At 38.9% G+C, this 18,476-nt stretch overlaps 1 annotated feature.

Annotated features, from left to right (window-relative positions):
* Positions 2,091–2,260: an enhancer, noted in NCBI's record as "experimental_88364 CRE fragment used in MPRA reporter constructs". NCBI's record gives its function as "activates a minimal promoter by MPRAs in K562 erythroleukemia cells, with activity observed for both the introgressed and non-introgressed 6:120669437 variant alleles {active_cell/tissue: K562}" and the evidence as "EXISTENCE:reporter gene assay evidence [ECO:0000049][PMID:34662402]".

An 18,476-nucleotide genomic window follows, 5' to 3' on the forward strand; every position in this document is an offset into this window, starting at 1 on the left:
TTGCCAAATCTATCGTTCTAGTCTCATTTTCTTCAAGTTCTCTTCTGGTGGTTGAGGCTCCTGTGAATATAAAGCTACCAGATATTCATTGAGTCCAAAATCTTCTCTTGCACCTTCATGCCTTTGAAAATAGTCTCTCAGTTCTTGGTTGTGCTTAAATATCAGTACTTGCTTTCTTCAATCACAGACTCCTATTCATCTTTCAGAAGAACTCCTCTTCTCCAAAAAGCATTCTCTTGTTAGCACTCCACCCAGCAAGGTACCTGAAATACATTAGAAGGTACGATACTACAATATACTTTTCAGCTTCCACTCTGAACTGGAAGACACTGACTATGAGAACTGTTACTTATTTTTATATTCTGAGCATTTTGGATATTATAATTTTCATGAATATTTGTTAAATTTTTAAAAAGTTATAAATAAAATTTATAAAACTAAAATTAGTAGAATGGTATTACTGGAAGTTACCTGAGAAATTATTTTGCTTATAGTTTTAATTTTATGGATTATAAAATTGAGACCTAGAGAGATCTCCAACAAAGACAAGTGTTATGGACTGAATTGTGTCCCACAAGATATGTATTGATGTTCTAACCTCAAAGAAGGTCCCATTGTGATATACGTACCAGATACATATCATGTATATATGTATGTGTGTGTGTAAGCATATATACACACTATAATTACTCTCTATATACATAATATATAAACATACATATATAATGCATGCATACATATACACACAATACATATATATGTTTGCATTACATATGTATGTATCTGGTACATATACACACTATATATGTATGTATGCATTTTATATGTATGTGCATATATATTCTGTATATAGAGAAGAATGTATAGTGTATATATGCTTACATACACATATATACATCTGATATGTATCTGGTACGTATATCACAATGTGACCTTTGAGGTTAGGACACCAATACATATCTTGTAGGATATTGTGTGTATATGCATGTATGCATTATACATGTATGTGTGTGTGTGTGTGTGTGTGTGTATATAGTGTGTGTGTGTGTGTGTGTATACATATATATATATCAGAATGTGAACTTATTTGGAAATATGGTCATTGTAGATGTGATAAGTTAATTTATAATGAGGTTATAGTAGAATAGGGTGGCCTCTTAATCCAATATGCATAGTGTCAGAAGAGAAGACACATGGACACATGATGGGAGAATAATTCATGATGAGAGCAGAAATTGAAGTGCTGCAGCTTCAAGCCAAAGAATGGCAAAGATTTCCAGCAAACCACCAGAGGCTAGAAGACAGAAGGGAGGATTCTCCTCTATAGGTTTTACAAGCAGCATATCTTTGATGACATCTTTATTCTGGACTTCTAGATTCCAGAATTTCCCTATGATCCAGGTCCCTAACAACCTGTTTCTTATTTTTTTGTTCTGTCCTAATAACAAAATGGGATTTTTTTTCTAAAAAGTAAATTTAATTTTATGGACACTTTGACATACCTGGTGATAAAACATATGTTACCTTTATTTTTTACAGATATCAGAATTTTGTTTTAACATACACTGGCCCTTTTAATAGAGTTATCCTGTCTGTGTTATATTGCTTTCTCTGAGGAAACACGTCTGTATTTGGCTATTAAAGCCAACAACCTGAAAAAAATATGTTATTTGGCTTTGTGTGTGTAATGGATCCTGTGATGGTTAATTTTATATATCATCCTGGCTAGCCTATGGTGCCCAGTGTTTGGTCAAATCCAAGTCTAGTTGTTGCTGTAAAGATATTTTTAGATGTGATTAATATTTACACACAGTAGAATCTGAGTAAAGCAGAAGCAGATTATTCTTCATAATGTGTATATATTTACATGCATAGCAGATATGGGTATATGTGTATTTGTATATATGTGCACACACACAACATATATAGTATAGAAATATACATAGTGTTTCACTGGAGAACCATGAATAATGCAGAACCCAAGTGATAAGTTCATATTCTTCAAATGCAGAGTAAGAAAGAGAGCTGGGACCTGGTAGGAGTGATGCTAGCATAGCCATGAGACAAAACCGTAAAAGAACAGAAACGTAGGGTATCCTCAAAGAGCAGAATATCTGAATTCAATAGCTTTCTGGGGGTGGTTTTACTGATCCTCATTAGGATCTCACACAAATCTCTAACCTGAGGGATGTATAAAATGTGTGGTGAGAAAAGGTTTGAAAGTATGATCAAATGAGATGAAAGCAAGAGTTTTAAACATAACGTGGCATCCTACAGTAGCCAATTAATTACTATATAATATATATTTGGGAGAACACTTGGGGCTATGAAGGTCAATATGGGTAGTGTTTTATTTGATCTTTTTCCATCTTTATAATGTGAGTAATTTTGTTTGAAGTTGGGAAAATGTCAAGAAGTAGTTATTTTACAGAAAAAGATACAGGCCCACATTTAATGTAATTGAATGTAATTCTGTCACCTGTACTTATTATAATAAATAATACTATTTATTTTCTTTTATATTTTGTTCCATTGAACTGTAAAATATTATTCCACACACTCACATAAGCACACACACACACACACACACACACACACACACACAGTTGTAGGCTCCACGATGGCAAAATGGTAAAGGAATTCCTATACTGACGAAGTTTAGAATATACCAGGAGAAGTAAGACCCTGGAGGGACAAAGATCATGACCTTAGAAATATCTGAAACTTTTCAGATGTGATACATATCATTTTTTATCAGCAAGGCTGTTCTTTACCTCCATCACTACCTCCTTTGCTTCTGTAGTTCTTAACCCATGCCTCTTCACCATAGAACGTATCACATTGTTTACGGATAATGTTTCCAAGAGTGTTTACCTATTGACTTTACCTCCTACTTGACCATCAACTCTGTAAAGGCAACACTGTAGGACATCAATAGCTCTTACTCATCTGTGTGCTGTCTCCCTTCCTAGCTCCCAAGGGGTTGTCTAAAGTGATTGTACTGCTAGTGAGCAAAAGCATAAATTGAAGAGTTAATGAATTCCAGAACAAAGGAATGTCTGCAGTCAAGGAAACATGTAAAGAATGTATGGTTAAAAGAGCATTTCTCAGTTTAAAATATGGCAATGATTAAAAGATATTAAGGGCAGCCATTTAGTAGGTGGACTGATTCCATTGTGCCATGTTATAGAATGGCTTTCAAAACTATCTTACCATTGAGTCTCTGCAATGAATAGGTGAGTAACATGAGCCATTGGCTAAAACACTTTCCTGACTCTCTCATCTCCCATCTTTTCTCATATAAATACTATGGAGATAACAATATTTCTAAGGTCATGATCTTTGTCCCTCCAGAATGTCATCCTCTTTTTTTTTTTTTTTTTCTGAGATGGAGTCTTGCCCTGTTGCCTAGGCTGGAGTGCAGTGGCATGATTTCGGCTCACTGCAACCTCTGCCTCCCAGGTTCAAGCGATTCTCCTGCCTCAGCCTCCCAAGTAGATGGGATTGCATGTGCATGCCAGCACACCCAGCTAATTTTTGTATTTTTATTAGAGACGGGGTTTCACCATGTTGGCCATGCTGGTCTCGAACTCTTGACCTCAAGTTATCCACCCACCTTAGCTTCCCAAAGTGCTGGGATTACAGGTGTGAGCCACTGCACCTGGCCTGTCATCCTCTTAAATAAGCCCAAATACTACTGTATTAGTCTGTTCTCACACTGCTATAAAGAAATGCCTGTAATTGGGTAATTTATAAAGAAAAGAGGTTTTTTTCTTTCTTTATAAATACCCACATCCACATAAATAATTGCCTCACAGTTCCACAGGCTGTACAGGAAGCATGATGCTGGCCATCTGCTTGGCTTCTGGGGAGGCCTCAGGAAACTTACAATGATGGCAGAAGGCAAAGGGGAGGCAGACATGTCTTACATGGCTGGATGAAGAGCAAGAGGAGGGAGAGAGGGGAGGTGCCACACACTTCTAAACAACCAGATCTCATGAGAACTCTATCATGAGACAGCACTAAGGAGGATGGTGTTAAACTATTAGAAACTGCCCCCATGATCCAATCACTTCCCACCAGGCCCCAGCTCCAACACTGAGAATTAAAATATGACATGAGATTTGGGTGGGGACACTAGATCCAAACATATCAACTACAGAAGGAGAGTATATAGGTTTTTAAATTTTTCACTTAGTTTCTGTACATTGTTACTGAATCACATATTAAGCCACAAATGCACTTGTTTTGGTGCATAGTCCATTTGTTCTTTAAGCTATATACATGAGAAAAAGTAAAAACTGTGAGGTTGAAGAAATATGGAGTAATTGCTTTTGTTATTCTAAGCCAAATAGAATTTTTGCAAAATTATATCTTAATTTGACCATCTGAAAAGCTGAAATACAAGAAATAATTATTAAACTTGTATAATACATTTAAAGCCACAACATGCAGGGTCCTTACCAAAGAAAATAGAAAAGTAAAGTAACTAATATTAACATTTACCTCCATTTTCCTCCTCCACTGTGACAGAAAATCTATTTTAGCGTGGTTATACCAAAAGAGCTATAGAATCTAACAAAATAAGTTATTGAATCCCCAGGGGAAAAAATCTTATGAGACTATACACAGATAATTATCCAGTGACTAAAGTTTATTCAATAAGATGCTGGTTTCTCTTCCCTAAGGCACAGATAAAATATACTAACATTTACAAACTGAGTCCAAAAATGTTAAACATTAAGTTTCTTAGAAAATACAGCTAGCTAGCTAGCTAGATATACATACATACATACATACATAGACTACACACACAAAAAATAGCTTCTGAAATGCAATCTGTATTCAATTATTCTGTCCATTTGATTTTTGTAACTTAGAACCACATGGGAGAAAATACTGAAATGAGAAGTATCATGGAGTAATGGAGAAAGAGGTGATTTGTAGTTATATAGACACCAATGCCTGTCTCAAACCCATTTCTGCTCTTTTCCAACTGTGTGACCACTTAAGGCACTGATTCCCACTTCACTAATGTGAGAAATAAAAAAGAAACATATAAAAGTAAGAACACTTAGCATTAGGATTTAGACATTCAATTTTAGGTCTTCTTTTCTAATTATAGTGTTTTTATTTTTCAATCAATAATATGAGCAGTTGAAGTTTTCTCTACTCTAACCCACACCCACATAAATAATCTAAGATATGGTAAGAGGATTGAAGACATAAGGAAAGAGATTTAATAAAGAATTTTTGATATTGGATAGTTGACAACTTTCAAGTAGCACTTCCCCCTTCACTTCTGTCCCACATCTGGACAAACTGGATAAAAAGTTATTGGTGCTCCCTTCTTTGGCAATATAGAGAAGCTCAAACCATGTAAACTCAGTCATGTTTGTGGGAACCCTCACCTAACCATGATACAACCCTAAGCTATTGCCCCTTTTTATTTTCTTTCTCTTTCAAGCCATTTTGGGACCAGCCTGAGAGCATACTCTGCTCTACCCAGAAAGCTCAGTAAGTAATTAATAGACCTCTGATACCTTCTTTGTTTGTGTATGATATCATCAGTCCCAACATTTAAACTATATTATGGGTAGAAGGGTTTATGCCACAGCAATTGACACAATGAGCAGGGTGTCTGCTGTGTGACCACCACCACCACTGGAAGTCTTTCTTCCTCAGCTTTGGCTTTCTAACTGGCTCTGCTGCCTGATGGTTAGCCTGTGCTTTGAGATGTTACCTGTTGACAAACTTATAGCTTTTTCTGTACTGCATTTTCTGAGTTTTATCGAACCTCTGTTACAGATTTGGTCAACTTATGTCAAAAGTTTCAAACACTTGTGAATAGAAATATGCAATTGGGGCTTTCTTTAAAGTGGCATTGGGTTGCATGTCTCACTCCACACCTATCTGTGTATTTTACATTGAATCATTAATCTCAATTCTAACATAAGCTCTGCCTGACACTATGCTCAGTAGAACAACTCTTACCCTGTAACTGCTGGTTTTGTATATCACACCTAGCATTGACTCCAATCTATTGAGTTTCAAGGGCAAGACTAATACCCTGTGAAACATATGGGATGAACGGGTGGTAGCTTGTGTGGAGGAAGGGTAGCCATCTCATGACATGCAGTGGTCACACTCCTAAGGGTAGAGGGCTCACCAGGACCCTACAAAATGTCTTTGCTGATGGTACTACCTATATCTATATTGCAACAAAGATCTAGATCCTCATCATTACAGGGAAAAACCCACAAGCTTGATTTAAACTTAGGATCCTTAAACCCAGTGAAGTAACAATTGCCATGGAAAGGTCCCTAATCTTGATGATACTAATTTGTGACTCTGGAGGAAGAAACTTGTAAATATGAACAAGGAAATTAGGACTATACACCCAGAGTATATCCAGTAACAAGAAAGAGAAAGAGAGAAAGAAAGAAAGAAACAAAGAAAGAAAGAAGAGAAAGAGAAAGAAAGAAAAAAGAAAAGAAAGAAAGGAGAAAGAAAGAAAGAAAAAAGAAAGGAAGGAAGGAAGGAAGGAAAGAGAGAGAAAAAGAAGAAGAAAAAAGAGAGAAAGAAAAAAGAAAGGAAAGAAAGAAAAAGAGAGAAAGAAGAGAGATAAAAAGAAAGAAGAAAGAAAGAAAAAAGAAAGAGGAGGAAAGAAAAAGAAAGGAAGAAAGAAGAAAAAAGGAAGGGAGGGAGGGAGGAAGGAAGGAGGGGAGGAAGGAAGGAAAAACAAACCCTGGACACTAGGTGAGGAAAAAACAAACAAAATGTCTAAAAAAAGTTTCCATAATTTGACCCAATTAGATATTGTATATTTACTAAAATAATTCTATAATAAAAAGATAAAAAGGCACTAAGTAGATTTTGCACCCGTGAAAGGATGATAATATCTTGTGACTGTGATGCCAAACTCACTATGCCAAAGAAAAAAGTCAAGCTTGGAAATTGTCATGCGAAAAACTGCCTTTCCCTTTGTTCCAAACAGATAGCTGCAAAATAAAAAGCCACATATCTCCCCAGGTGGCCTCCCTCAACCTGAGGATGTAAATTAACAACTGGTGCAGGACAAGACTACAAATCATCCCTCTGCTCACTCCAACACAAATGCATATTTGACTTCTTCCTCTATTTTCTGTTAACTTTTCACACTTTGGAAACAGTGTGGGCTACAGATCTTTCGGTGACTTGACAGCAAGACCTTTTTCCCAAGTGCTTTCTCAACCTTGGCAAAATAAATTTCTAAATTGGTTAATTGGTTGAGACCTGTCTCAGGCACTTTTTTGGTTTACACACCTCTACAATGTAAGTTCTGTTTTTTTTGTTTTGTTTTGTTTTTGTTTTTTTAAATAGGCAGTCTTGCTCTGTCACTCAGGCTGGAGTGCAGTGGTGCGATCTTGGCTCACTGCAGCCTCCACCTCCCAGGTTCAAGTCGTTCTCTGTTGCCTCAGCCTCTCGAGTAGGTGGGATTACAGACTCCTGCCACCACACCTTGCTAACTTTTGTATTTTTAATAGAGATAGGGTTTTGCCATGTTGGCCAGGCTGGTCTTGAACTCCTAACCTCAGGTGATCCACCCACCTCAGCCTCCCAAAGTGCTAGGATTACAGGCATGAACCCCTGTGCCCAGTCCTCTACAATATAAGTTCTGAATCAACATTAACATCTACTGAGATGTACCAACTAGCAGACCTCCATGGCCTTAATCAATACAGCGTCTCAAATTACATTTATGCCTGGGAATCTCTCTAAATATAAATAAGGTACCCCTTATACTTTTAGATTAATTGCCGAATATAAAATAAAAGACAAATAGTTATGCTTCACTTTATCCTCTGAGCTTTGCTTTGCCTAACTTTCCTATTCTCATATCCTGAAATATCCTTAGTGAGCGTGGGTGCTCTCAAGTAATTAATAAGCAATAAAAATTAAGTCATTGGCACTTAAAAGTGACTTGACAAAACAGATCAAATGTCCCTGCCCCTTCACACCAGTTAAAATAGTTAACCTATTCTCGTAAATTCCTCTCATGTCTCTTGGACCCCAGCCATAATTACTAATTTGTTTATGATATTCTGATGCAAGAAACTTTCTTCCTTAACCCCGTGTTATATGTTGTTACAGCAGCAATTGCTGGACATATACTGGGCTTTCCTGAATACAGAGGCTCTGATATCCTGAGCCTATGATTCCCTGTACTGAATTGCTCATTTGCTTTTGTTGGAGACACAGCATCCCACAAGGAGTACAGGTGGCCACCCAGGCCTTTTTGCTGTAACAGAAATTGTAGCTACAGAACACCTATAGCACTTCTGGCATTTCCCACCTGAAGGAGGTAATGGTCCCCCCAAACTCAGTCCTTTGCCAGATGCCATGATGCCAGAAATACTGGAAACAGAGCAATTCTACCTTGAATAGGGGCTGGGGAAAATGAGGCTGAGACCTGCTGGGCTGCATTCCCAGGAGGTTAAAACATTCTTAGTCACAGGATGAGATGGGAGGTCTGCACAAGATGCAGGTTACAGAGACCTTGCTGATAAAACAGGATGTGGTAAAGAAGCCAGCCAAAACCCACAAAAACCAAGATGGCAACACACGTGACCTCAGCAAAACCAAGATGGTGACACAAGTTGTCCTCACTGCTCATTATATGCTAATTATAGTGCATTAGCATGCTAAAAGACACTCCCACCAATGCCATGACAGTTTACAAATGCCATGGCAGTGTCAGGAAGTTACCCTATATAGTCTAAAAAGGAAAGGAACCCTCATTTCTGGGGAATCCCTGCCCCTTTCACAGAAAGCTTACATACAGGGCACTCCTGGATGGTGACAGGATAGCCCTAGAGATACACATTGTCACCCATCTATAAGCTACTTTTAAGCTAATTTTTAGTCTCTTTGACTACTGTGTTTGAGTGATGAAAATGTTTTCTTTGGTATGTTCCCAGACTCTGGGATGTTTGGGTTCTCAGGGATACCTGCTCCTCATCTGGGCACCATGGCCTTGACTCATTTCCCAGCATTCAGTGTTCAAGCAGCTGTTGCATATTCCTAAGTAATCTGGTGGGGTACTTGTCAGATTACAACATGAAGCTTGGGATTTTCCCAGGAGATGCTGTCTTTTTTTCTCTTCGTGGTGGTCTATAGCATTACAATATGTTTGATAAGAAAAAAATGGACTTTCCAGAAAGAAAATATTCTAAGCCTTTGACAAATTTTGAGTATACAGATCTTTTCTGTTGTAAAATTACATGTTCAATAAAATTAAGAGTTTAGATTTCCAAGAATTGACATAATTGTGGTCTCTGATTTAACAGATATTTGCTTAGTTTACAAGATTTTCTCATATTATTTTTTAATTTTTTCACTTGTTTACATTTTATTCTCCCATCTATGCATCGATTTTCTAACAAAAATAGTGATATATTAAAGGGATCATTTTCTTCCTTTATAATACCTCATTTATGTTTGTAATTCCAGAATCTCACATATTGCAAATATTGTATAGAGTTGCTTACTGATTTATATGTATCTTTTTTTAGATTATCATGCCAATGTGAGGGACTGGGGAGATACCTCCTTAGTCTGTGAAATAATTTCTCTATTCATTCTGAAAGTTATCTTCCCCTATTAGATCCCTTAAGTTTTCAATAACTACTTCCATTCCTAGACCTGGAATCAGAATTCCTTAATTTTTAATTTAATTATGTGTAGAAATCAATTGATACCACAACTTCTTATAAAATAGAACTCATGTATTTCCTGTTATAAGAAAAATAAAGAATTTGTACAAAATTATTTTTGGATCTCACTGAAACAGTCCTAAGCCCTTGGGAATACAGCCAAGATAACTGGTCATCATGGAGATTAAAATGCACCAAAGCAAGCCCCATCTTCCTGACTAAAGTACAGCTGGCCCAGAGGCTGACTCAGATTGAGCCAAACGGTATTAATTAATTTTGAGCTTTTCTGTGCCAGATGATCTCTAAAGTCACATTGTATTCTGAGATTTTGTTTTGAACAAGCTATCTTTTACTTGTCATTAATAATACTTTCAAAGTACTCTAATACTATTAAAATATTATTTGTAAAAAATTTCTTAGCTTGAATTATTTCTAAAGATGACTATTCATTTGGATTTTGTTCTGATATCTAGTATCACTGACAATAATATTTAGCATCTTAAATAATTAGAAGCTCAATGCAGTCACTTTTGCAATTGAGTGCAATCTTAACATGAAGTTTAAATCAACCCCAGCCTTGATGTGGTGGCTCATGCGTGTAATACCAGCACTTTGGGAGGCCGATGAGAGTGGATTGCTTGAGCCCAGGAGTTCAAGATCAGCCTGGGAAACATAGCGAGACCTTGATTACACATACACACACACACACACACACACACACACACACACACACACACACATATTAGCTGAGTATAGTGGTACACACTTGTAGTCCCAGCAATTCAGGAGGCTGAGGCAGGAGGACTGCTTGAACCCAGCAAGTTGAGGTTGAAATGCACCATAATCATGCCACCCCAGCTTGGGGAACGAAATGAGACCCTGTCTCAAAAAATAAATAAACAGAAATAAATCAACCCTAGCCTTTCCTCTAAGGAATTTACCTGTTGACAATTTTAATATAGAGATATATTTGTGTATTGTTTGCACTTACTACAATACTTAGTATGAGTCAAAAATTCTTCTTCTCCTTACCTTTGCTTTACTTTATAATCCTTTCTCCACATGCCTTCAAATTTAGGTTCTGAACTTTTATCATTTTGTTCTTTAATATTAACTGACAGGGTATGAACTTTCAAGTGCTGCTTGTATTTCCCCATGTTTACAGCGTAATTATAATTTTGTATTATAAATATTATATCTATATAATATCTTAAACCCTCTCATCTAAGATAATTTTAGGTATAAATGAGAAAAGTTGATTGCACGTAAGATGGCAGAATAGGAAAACCTGAACCCTTCTTCTGCCCACATAGTGATTCAATAATAAATCATGGACAATTTCCTTTTGTGAGGAAATACAGAAACCAGTTGAGAGGCTTCTGCACCTCAGGCAAACAAAAAACTAGACATCTCAACACCAGTAGGAAAATCTGAGACACCATCTCTCCAGAATCTCCATGCCCAGCATAACACTAAATCAGGAAAAATGCTCCAAGAGCTCTTAGCTTCTCCTTGGGGAGGGAAAGAGTTGGAACAAACATTTGTCACCCCAACTTTTCTGGGGACTTTCCAGAGCACTGACTTTTGTTTTGACATTCATGGAGCACTGGTGGGATCCAAAATACTTTAGCCACCTGGAAGACAACAGATACAGCAGTTTCAGATAGCAGTTGCCACAGTCCTTTCCTCCAGCAAGCACAGAACAAGTGGATAAAAAAAAAAAAATCTCAGTTCTTATGTCTGGCTATGCAAAGAGTTGGTTTGTGCATCCAGTGCCCCACATTTTCTGGAAGCTACCCAAAGGACTGGCTTCTGTCTTGGAGTGCTAATGGGACCTGACATGATTTAGCCACCTAAGGGCTAATGAGAACAGAGATAGCAATTTGAGCTGACAGTCACTACAGCCCTCTTCTTGGCTCAGTACAGTACAAGCAGATTAACAACTTAAACCCCCACCTTCTCTCTGGGGAGGCAAAGAGTTGAACTGAATGCTTAAATCCCCACATTTTTGAGTTGTTCAAAGGACTGAATTATTTCCTGCTTGCCTCAGAGTGCAAATGGAACCAGGCCACCTAGTCTAGCCACCTGGCAGGCAGTGAGAACAAAAACAATGATTTGAGCTAGTATGCAACTAGTCACCATAGCTTCTCCTTCCAAGCTCAACACAGACAGAAAACAAGTAAAACAGAAACAAATAACAAACAAACAAGAAAAGATCCCAGCTTCTCTCTGGAAGGAGAAAGTTGTGGACAAAGCATCTAAAGATCCAACTTTTCTGCAGGCTTCCCAAAGAATTGGTTTCAGTCGCACTTACCTGGGCACACTTGTTGCAGGAAGTCAGGGAACTCGAACGGAGGGACTGGCTGAAGCCACGGCAGAAGAACATAAATTGTGAAGATTTCATGGACATTTGTTAGTTCCCCAAATTAATACTTTTATAATTTCTTAGACCTGTCTTTACTGCACTCTCTGAACATAAATTATGAAGATTTCATGGACATTTATCACTTCCCCAGTAAATACTCTTATAATTTCCTATGCCTGTCTTTAATCTCTTAATTCCGTCATCTTCGTAAGCTGAGGATGTATGTTGCCTCAGGACACTGTGATGATTGCGTTAACTGCACAAATTGTTCGCAAAGCATGTGTGTTTGAACAATATGAAATCTGGGCACCTTGAAAAAAGAACAGGATAACAGCAATGTTCAGGGAACAAGGGAGATAACCATTAGGTCTGACTGCCTGGGAGCCGGGCAGGACATAGTCATATTTCTCTTATTGCCGAAAATGGGTAAGAGAAATATTGCTGAATTCTTTCCCTGGTAAAGAGTATTAATAATTAACAGACCTGAGAAAAGAATGCATTCCCAGGGGGAGGCCTCTAAAATGGCCACTCTGGGAGTGTCTGCCTTATGCAATTGTAGATAGGGATGAAACATGCTATGGTCTCCTGCAGTGCCCCCAGGCTTGCTAGGATTAGGAAATTCCAGCCTGGCAAATTTTAGTCAGACTGGTTCTCGTCTCTTGAACCCTGTTTCCTGTTAAGATGTTTATCAATGACAATGCATGCACAGTGGGACATGAAACTTCATCAGCAATTCTAGTTTCGCCCTGGCCTTGTGACCTTGCCCTGCCCATTTGCCTTGTGATATTTTATTGCCTTTGAAGCATGTGATCTCTGTGACCCACACCCTATTCGTACACTCCCTCCCGTTTGAAAATTGCTAATAAAAACTTGCTGGTTCTGCAGCTCAGGGGGCATACACATTGTTGAACCTGGCATACTATAGATGTCTGGGGGACACTAAAAATAAAGGAAGTAGGTTGGACTATAACAAAGGTTTAAGAGGTCCCAAGAATCTTTCCAAACTGATTAGTAAAAGCCTATTGCATGAGGCCATTTTGTGAAGAGAGAGAGATGTCTGCTTTGTCTAATAGGCAGACACCAACAGAGAGAATCAAGAAAAATTTTTAAGAATGGGAAATATGGCCAGGCATGGTGGCTTACACCTGTAATCTCAGCACTTCAGGAGGCCAAGGCGGGTGGATCACGAGGTTGAGAGATCTAGACCATCCTGGCCAACAAGGTGAAACCCCATCTCTACTAAAATACAAAAAAAAAAAAAAAATTAGCTGGGCATGGCAGCATGTGCCTGTAACCCCAGCTACTTGGCAGGCTGAGACAGGAGAATCACTTGAACCCAGGAGGCGGAGGTTGCAGTGAGCTGAGATCAACCAGCAGATGCACTGCACTCCAGCCTGGGTGACAGAATGAGACTCTGTCTCAAAAAAAAAAAAAAAAAAAAAAAAAGCTGAGAAATATGTTCCAAAAAAAGAAACAAGATAAATCTTCAGAAACAGATTCTAATCAAACAGAGACATAATTTATCTGACAAAGAATTCAAATAACCCTCATAAAGAGTCTCACTGAGATCAGGAGAACAATATATTAACAAAGTAAGAATATTGATAAAGAGAAATATTAAAAAGTACCAAACAGAAAATATGGAGCTAAAGAACACAATAACTAAACTAAATATTTCACTACAGGAGTTCAACAGCAAACTAGATCAAGCAGAAGAAGGATGGGCAAACTCAAAGACAGGTCACAAAAAAATTATTTAGTCAGAGGGACAAAAAGATTCAAAAGAGTAAAGAAAGCATAAGGGACTTATGGGGCACCATCCAGCAGGTCACTACATGCATTTTGGGAGTCCCATACGGAGAATAAAATCAGCAGCAGAAAATTTATTCAAAGAAATAATGGCTGAAAACTTCCTAAATCTGTGAAGGAGATGAAATACAGATTCCAGAAACTCAAATTTCCTAAAATAAGATAAACCCAAAGAAATATACACTAAGGGAAATTATAATCAAATTGTTAAAAGTCAAAGACAGGGAGTATTTTGAAGGCAGCAGAGGAAAAGCAACTTATGACATACAGTGTAACCCTCAGAAAACTATTAGAGGATTTTTTAAGTGCAATGATATATTCAAAGTGCTGAAAGACAAAAATTGCCAATCAAGAATACTATACCTAAAACAACAACAAAAATCCTAAACCTGGCAAAACTATCCTTCAAAAAATTAAAGAGAGATAGGAATTTTCTAGACAAACAAAAGCTGAGGAAGTTCATCACAACTAGACCTGCTTTACCAGAAATGCAAAAGAGTGTTCTTCAATGGGAAATAAAACAGCCCTAAATAGCAGTACAGTAGCCTAAGAAAGTATAAAGCTCAATGGTAAAGGCAATATATAAATAATAAAAATACTATATTACTGTGATTGTGATGGTAAGTCACTTTAAATTTTATCATAAAAATTAAAAGTATTAATTATAACTGAAAATACGTTAATGGATACAAGTATAAATAGATGTACATTGTGACATCAACAGCAATAAATGTAGAGTGGGGGAGAAGTAAAAGTGTAATTTTTGCATGGGATTGAACTTGGTTGTTATCAGTTTAAAATAGAGTGTTAGAAAATATTTATTTAGGCTGGGCGCGGTGGCTCACGCCTGTAATCCCAGCACTTTGGGAGGCCGAGGCGGGCGGATCACAAGGTCAGGAGATCGAGACCATCCCGGCTAAAACGGTGAAACCCCGTCTCTACTAAAAATACAAAAAATTAGCCGGGCGTAGTGGCGGGCGCCTGTAGTCCCAGCTACTTGGGAGGCTGAGGCAGGAGAATGGTGTGAACCCGGGAGGCGGAGCTTGCAGTGAGCCGAGATCCCGCCACTGCACTCCAGCCTGGGCGACAGAGCGAGACTCCGTCTCAAAAAAAAAAAAAAAAAGGAAAATATTTATTTACTTATTTATGAATTTATTGAGATGGACTTTTGCTCTTGTCACCCAGGCTGGAGTGCAATGGCATGATCTCAGCTCACTGCAACCTCCGCCTCCTGGGTTCAAGTGATTCTCCTACCTCAACCTCCTGGGTAGCTGGGATTACAGGTGCCCACCATCACGCTTGGCTAATTTTTTTGGTATTTTTAGTAGAGACAGGGGTTCACCATGTTAGCCAGGCTGTCCTCGAATTCCTGACCTCAGGTGATCCACCTGCCTCTGCCTCCCAGAGTGCTGGGATTACAGGCGTGAGTCACCACACCTGGGCCAAAAGATATTTTATGTTGGTCCTGTAGTAATCACACACACACACACACACACACAATACCTACATAGGTTATATAAAACAAGAAAGAAAGAAACCCAGTTATAGCAATACAAAATAATCAATGAAACACAAAGAGAGTAAGACAGAAAAAGAGGGACAAGAGAAATACAAGACAGAAATCAATTAACAAAACAGCCATAGTATTAACAAATTATTTCCAATAAATAATATCTTTAAATGTAAATGGATGAAAGTCCCCATTCAAAAGGCACAAAGAGGCTAAATAAAATTTTTTAAAAGATCCATATATTTGCCAGTCTGTGTCTTTTAACTGGGGCATTTGGCCCATTTATATTTAAAGTTAACATTGTTATGTGTGAATTTGATCCTATAATTATGATGCTAGCTGGTTATTTTGCCTGTTATTTGATGCAGTTTCTTCGTACCATCGACGGTCTTTACAATTTGGTATGTTTTCACAGTGGCTTGTACCGTTCATTCCTTTCTTTGTTTAGTGCTTCCTTCAGGAGCTCTTGTAAGGCATGCCTGGTGGTAACAAAATCTCTCACCGTTTGCTTGTCTGTAAAGGATTTTATTTCTCCTTCACTTATGAAGCTTAGTTTGGCTGGATATGAAATTCTGGGTTGAAAATTCTTTTCTTTAAGAATGTTGAATATTGACCCCCACTCTCTTCTGGCTTGTAGGGTTTCTGCTGAGAGATCTGCTGTTAGTCTTATGGGCTTCTCTTTGTGGGTTACCCGACTTTCTCTCTGGCTGCCCTTAACATTTTTTCCTTCATTTCAACCTTGGTGAATCTGACGATTCTGTGTCTTGGGGTTGCTCTTCTCAAGGAGTATCTTTGTGGTGTTCTGTGTATTTCCTGAATTTGAATGTTGGCCTGTCTTGCTAGGTTGGGGAAGTTCTCCTGGATAATATCCTGCAGAGTGTTTTCCAACTTGGTTCCATTCTCCCCATCACTTTCAGGTACACCAATCAAACATAGATTTGGTCTTTTCACTTAGTCCAATATTTCTTGGAGGCTTTGTTCATTCCTTTTCACTCTTTTTTCTCTAATCTTGTCCTCTCACCTTATTTCATTATTAAGTTGACCTTCAATCTCTAATATCTTTTCTTCCACCTGATCGATTCTGCTATTGATAGTTGTGAATGCTTCAAGAAGTTCCCATGCTGTGTTTTTCAGCTCCATCCTGTCATTTATGTTCTTCTCTAAACTGGTTATTCTAGTTAGCAATTCGTCTAACCTTTTTTCAAGGTTTTTAGCTTCCTTGCATTGGGTTAGAACATGGTCCCTTAGCTCAGGGGAGTTTGTTATTACCCACCTTCTGAAGCCTACTTGTGTCAATTCGTCAAATTCATTCTCTGTCCATTTTGGTTCCCTTGCTGGTGAGGAATTGTGATCCTTTGGAGGAGAAGAGGCATTCTGGTGTTTGGAATTTTCAGCCTTTTTGCACTGGTTTCTCCCCATCTTCATGGATTTATCTATCTTTGATGTTGGTAACCTTCAGATGGGGTCTCTGAGTGGATGTGCTATTCCTTTCTATTTGTGAGTTTTCCTTCTAACAGTCAGGACCTTCTGCTGCAGGTGTGGTGGAGTTTGCTGGAGGTCCACTCTTGACACTGTTTGCCTGGGTATCACCAGTGGAGGCTGCAAAACAGCAATGATTGCTGCCTGTTTTTTTCTCTGGAAGCTTCGTCCCAGAGGGGCACCTGACAGATGTCAGCCAGAGCTCTCCTGTATGAGGTGTCTGTGGGCCCCTACTGGGAGGTGTCTCCCAGTTAGGATACACAAGGGTCAGGGACCCACTTGAGGAGGCAATCTGACCCTCATCAGAGCTTGAACGCTGTGCTGGGAGGTCCACTGCTCTCTTCAGAGCCATCAGGCAGGGACTTTTAAGTCTGCTGAAGCTGCGCCCATAGCCATCTCTTCCCCCAGGTGCTCTGTCCCAAGGAGATGGGGGTTTTATCTATAAGTCCCTGACTGGGGCTGCTGCCTTTGTTTTCAGAGATGCCCTGCCTAGAGAGGACGAATCTAGAGAGGCAGTCTGGCCACAGCAGCCTTGCTGAGCTGCGGTGGGCTCTGCCCAGTTCAAAATTCCTGGCAGCTTTGTTTACACTGTGAGGGTAAAACCGCCTACTCAAGCCTCAGCAATGGCGGATGCCCCTCCCCCCACCAAGCTAGAGCATCCCAAGTCAACCTCAGGCTGTTGTGCTGGCAGCAAGAATTTAAAGCCAGTGGATCTTAGTTTGCTGGGCTCCGTGGGGGTGGGCCCAGCCAAGCCAAACCACTGGCTCCCTGGGAGTGAACAGTTCTGTCTCGCTGGCATTCCAGGCAACACTGAGGTATGGAAAAAAAAAAAAAATTCCTGTAACTGGTTCTGTGTCTGCCGAAACAGCTGCTCAGTTTTGTGCAGGGAACCCAGGGCCCTGGTGGCATAGGCACTGGAGGGAATCTCCTAGTCTGCAGGGTGCAAAGAGTCAAGACCCTTCAGTGTGTTGTGTTCAGGAGGCCCATCTCACGTGCAAAGACACACATAGGCTCAAAATAAAGGGATGAAGGAATATTTACCAAGCAAGTGGAAAGCAAAAAAAAAGAAAAAAAAAAAAGGCGGGAGTTGCAATCCTAGTCTCTGATAAAACAGACTTCAAACCAAAGAAGGGCATTACATAATGGTAAAGGGAGAATTGCAACAAGAAGAGCTAACTATCCTAAATATATATGCACCCAATACAGGAGCACCCAGATTCATAGAGCAAGTTCTTTGAGACCTACAAAGAGATTTAGACTCCCACAAAATAATAGTGGGAGACTTTAACATCCCACTGCCAATATTAGACAGATCAACAATACAGAAGGTTAACAAAGAAATCTGGACTTGAACTCAGCTCTGCACCAAGAGGACCTAATAGACATCTACAGAACTATCCACCCCAAATCAACATAATGTACATTCTTCTCAGCACCTCATCACACTTATTCTAAAATTGACCACATAATTGGAAGTAAAACACTCCTCAGCAAATGCAAAAGAACAGAAATCATAACAAACAGTCTCTCAGTGTAATTAAATTAGAACTCAGGACTAAGAAACGCATTCAAAACTGTACAACTACATGGAAACTGAACCTGCTCCTGAAAGACTACT

Source organism: Homo sapiens, chromosome 6 (assembly GCF_000001405.40).
Source record: "Homo sapiens chromosome 6, GRCh38.p14 Primary Assembly".
Lineage (NCBI taxonomy): Eukaryota > Metazoa > Chordata > Mammalia > Primates > Hominidae > Homo > Homo sapiens.